General features: G+C 41.7%; 1 annotated feature.

Moving 5' to 3' along the window:
* Positions 1160 to 1339: a silencer, noted in NCBI's record as "silent region_11969". NCBI's record gives its function as "represses an Ori minimal core promoter by ATAC-STARR-seq in GM12878 lymphoblastoid cells {active_cell/tissue: GM12878}" and the evidence as "EXISTENCE:reporter gene assay evidence [ECO:0000049][PMID:35858748]".

Consider the following 4775-nt stretch of genomic DNA (forward strand, 5'->3'; position numbering starts at 1 on the left):
CATTCTATTTAAAGTCGCCCCTCTGCTCCCTGAGATAGAAGCATATCTGATTGCCTCCTTTGGAGACTAATCAGAAACTCAAAAGAATGTAACCATGTGTGTATCACTCATCTGTGACCTGGAAGCTCCCTCCCTGCTTCCAGTCTTCCTGCGTTTGCTTCAAGTTGTCACATCTTTCTAGACCAAAGCAACGTACTTCTTACATATATTGATTGTTGTCTCATGTCTCCCTAAAATGTATAAAACCAAGCTGTGCCCTGACCACCTTGGGCTCATGTCATCATGTCCCTGAGGCTGTGTCACGAGTGTGTTCCCAACCTTGGCAAAATAAACTTTCTAAATTAACTGAGACCTTCATTTGAGTTTGCTGCTGGACACCCTCATTGTGTTTATTGGCCTGTTTCTCTGTTAATGCCTATCACGAATGGCTTGGGTAACTAAAGCTTTGGGAAGTAATGTAAAGTGGAAGAGTGTGATGGCTCCACCGACTTTGTATGTGTAGGAACTGCTTTGGGAATGCGGGGCATTTGATTGTCCCACGGGATTTTTAGTATTGTGTTGTGATCCTATATGGAAAACAAAAATAGGACATGGTCTGTGTTTTTATTTAAAGGGTGCAACGGACCTTTTTACATGAATCAATGAAACTGCAGGACCTAGCGTCTGTTTCATGCTACAGTGAGGATTTCTTGATGGAGAGAGCATTCCAAATCCTTTCCAGCAATATTGAATATTATGTTATGATACTGTTAAGCCTAGTCACCCTGCTGTGCCGTACAACACCAGAGTAACTGCGTCTCATCTGAACATCCCTTTGCAGCCATTTCCAATCCTCCCCCCAGCCTCTGGTACCCACTGTTGACATTGCTACTCTATGAGATTCACTTTGTTAGATTCCACGTGCATGAGATTTTGCAGTATTTGTGTTTGTCTTCCTCTGCCTGGTTCATGTTTTTTAACTTAATGTCTTCCAGGTTTTTCCATCTTGCTGGTAGTGAACTGATGTCCGGAAGTTTGATGGCTGAAGAGTATACCGTTGTGCATATATCCTTCAATTCCTGCATTTTTTAATCTGTAGAAAGACAAGTAGGTTGATTCCCCATCTTAGTTATTGTCCAGAGTACTTCATGAAACATGAGAGGGAGATACCTCCTTAAGGTAGGTTTGGTTGGCTTTGCAGGTATACCCAGTGTTGGGATGGCTAGAGGAACTGGTGGTTGTGTTAATTGTTTCAGAAACCTCCAGCTGTCTCCCAGCAGGTATACGAATTTGCATTCAAACCAGTAGTGTGTAATAGTTCCTCTGTCTGCAAATCTACACTGCCCTTATCTTCCAAAGTTTTATTGCTGTTTCTGGTCATACTCGTTCTCTGGGAAGAAACTCTTCTGATGTGGACAAACTTTTCTATTACCTGAGAGTCTGTTTCAGGTTTTTTCAGAAATGGCTATGCCAGTCCTTTGGGCATTTTTAGCATGTGTTTTGGTTTTTGTATTTTTGTCCACTTAGGACCATTAGTTTCTTGAGTATGTTAGATAAGAAGCCCTTCCAGATTGACAGTTTTTCATAATTTTCTTCTAGTCTGCAAGATGCCTTTTATTTGGGTTCAGTATTTTCTGTCCTGTGTTGAAGCTGCGTGAAGCTCTGAAGTTGTCCTTAGTCTCACATGGTCACATTAGCTTTTGTTAGTGGTGATTTCTGTGTCCCTTTGAGAAGAAAAGTGAGATGGCGAAGCCATTGTATGGTCTATGGGTATTTGGTTCCTATGTCTTCCTTTTCTGTTTGTGGCTTAGGTTCACAGGTTCAAGTTTACCCACAGTAGACACACACCCTACGTGTTTTCCTTGGAGATTTTGGTTTCAGGATTGAACTTAGGTGTTCAGTAGATTTTGTGTCGCTTTTTGTGTCTTGGGTAAAGGAAAGGTTCGGTCCTTTGCACGTGACCCCTCAGTTTCCTCAACCATTGTGCCTTTGGTGTGCTTTTGGAGGAACAACAAGAATCCCATGGGTTCAGTGTTTATAATTGTGGGTTGATTATTTGGCTCCTTCGTTGTGTCCATTCGGTTGTCTTTCTGTGTTCATGCCACTAATGGATGGATTGGGTCACTGTAGGCTTTTTGTTTTGTTTTGTGTGTTTTCTTCCTTTTTTCTATTTTTATTTCCAAAGCTGGGTTTTCTAAAATGATAGCTACTTTTATTGTGATCGAGGGGTACGCCTGCAGGTTCATTTCACTACATGGCTATACAGTAGAATTTTGATGCTTGGGGTCCTAACGTACCTGTCACCCAGGCGGTGAACACAGCACCAGTTGGGTCTTTCTTCCTCCAAGGCTCCCTGTCTCCCTTTTTTTTCTGTCTGGAAGTACCCAGCGTCTCTTGATTTCATCTTTATGTTGATGTGTATTGGGTGTTGCGCTTCCACTTATAAATGAGAACCTGCAGTGTTTGGTCTTCTGTTCTTGCCTCAGTTGCTTAGCAGAGTGGCCTCCAGTTCCACCCATGTTCCTACCGAGGGCATGATTTTGTTTCTGTGTTTGATTTTCCTTAGTGGCTTTTTAGCATTCTGTGATGTATAGGAACCACATTTTTAAAAATCCAGTTTTCTGTTCGTGGGCATCTAGATCAGTTCCACATCTTTATTCCTGTCAGTAACACTCCCGTGGACGTGTGAGTGTCATGTGTCTTTTTGATAGACGCATGTGTTTTTCCCTGGGGTAGATGCATGGGGTAGGATTGCTGGGTCAAAGCATAGCTCTGCCTTCCATCCTTTTTTTTTTCCAGAAATCTTCAGACTGGTTTCCACAGTTTAGGATCTAGTTTGCATTACCTCCAAGAGAATAGCCATGTTTGCTTTTCTCTGCTGCCACACTGTAGCATGTTATGTTTTGACTTGGGACAAATGGCCACTCTGACCAGCATGTGATGGTACTGGTACCTCATCTCTGATGATTAGTGATGTTGAGCGTTTCCCATGCCTGTTGGAATGGCAATCCGTTGGAAATGTCTTCTCAGTTACTACCCATATGTATGTTGCTCAGGCCACTGTGTGGCCCCAGCACTGTTGGTTTGCATCGGGACTTGGGGATTGTTTGTCGTTGTTAGCCAAGACAAATGTTACACTGCTGTTCCTACAGTGAGTAGTGGGAGTGGGGTATGGGGACATATGCTTATGCCCACAGTTCCATCAGAAATCCCACTGCCTTAAGACAGTCTCACGGGAACCCAGTCCCAGCCTTGCAGCACTGGGTAGCCCTGTGGCATTTTGACTTTGGATGTATCTGCATTGTTGAAGTCACTCAGCATGTTGCCATGCATTTATCCACTTAGGTCAATGTTAAGGGAAGTTCATCGCCTCTGCTTCTTCAGTAACTGATGTCTGGTGCATCAACTGAATGCATTTCAGGCTTTTAAGCAGTTCCCACGGATCTATGGGTAAAAAAGGCTTTCACCATGCCCACCTACTCAGTGAGTGACCAATGTCTCATTGTTAGTGCATCTGATGCACAGAGTTTAGTGGTCTGAGGGAGGTCAGTCGCCAAGCAGAGATTGAAATCACATTTGTATTTACATTATTACTTTTCTACAGCTTGGTTCCTTGCAGGGTTTCACACTATTTAGTCTGGATTGAATCCTTGAATTACTTTACTTTGTCTACCAAGGCTTTCAAAGAACTTGATAAACTTGTTCTAATTAGCCAACATATTCATCCATGATGTCCGTATACCAGGTCTAAAAATAAAACATTTCTTAATGCACACAGGACATGGAAGGCAATCTACACATTTTCAAGTGTAGACTTTGCTTGTGACTCTTTTGTGAGGAATAGTCATTGTTACTTTAGGAAAACCCTGAGTTTATCCAACTCTTGTTAGAATTGGATAAGTGTAAAAACCTACAATAGAATGCAAGTGTGAGAGCCAAGTCCTCTGGTAAAATAAACTCATATTATTCTTTATATATGTCTGGTCATTGTATTAATAAAATCAGTTTGTTTTGGCTGAAACACATGGTTGGCCTTTACAATAGATGTGAAAATGGGCTTATAGATCATTGCTCTTTATTGTGAATATTAGGTTGTATTTATTGCCAAACTCTTTCAACAGCTTCTAAGCAGTGAATTTCAGTGTGTTGTTGTTGTTCTCCAAGCACAAGCAGCTACTTCAGTTTTACCACATTCATCTCCCACACACTGATGAACCATATGGAGACAGCAGGAACTGCAGTAGAACCAGAGGGAGTAGTTAGGACAGACACTCTGATTCATTCATTCTGATTCTCACTGTTGTCAGTGAGTAAAGGTCATTGAATTTTTCTTCTGATGAATAAAATGGACAATTTTCTCAGTGCAATGGCTTACTTTTGGAAGAGCAGCCCTAAAGACTTTACTACTGATCAGTAAAGTCTAAACTGCTTTCTGTGTATTTTTTTAATTAAACTTTTATTTTAGATTGAATAAAAATGTGCAGGTTTATTGTGTGATACTGAGTTTTGGGGTATGATTGAAGCCATCACTAAGGTAGTGAGCATCTCACCTTCTCCCTCTCTTCACTCTGTTACAGAGAACAGACCCTCCCAGTCTTCAGTGCACTCTAAATACTGGCTAATTCTGGCCAATGGAAGGCATCTGTGGAAGAGAAAAGCCTCAGGTCATGTGCTATCTGTCTTTATTCACTGTGACATATTAGGTAATGGTCACAGCCACTCACCATGGCCCCAGTTTTTAATAACATGACCCTGCTTTTGTGTTCCAGTAACTTGTGTTGTTTTCCCAGTCCTAA

The sequence above is a fragment of the Homo sapiens genome, chromosome 2 (assembly GCF_000001405.40).
Source record: "Homo sapiens chromosome 2, GRCh38.p14 Primary Assembly".
NCBI lineage: Eukaryota > Metazoa > Chordata > Mammalia > Primates > Hominidae > Homo > Homo sapiens.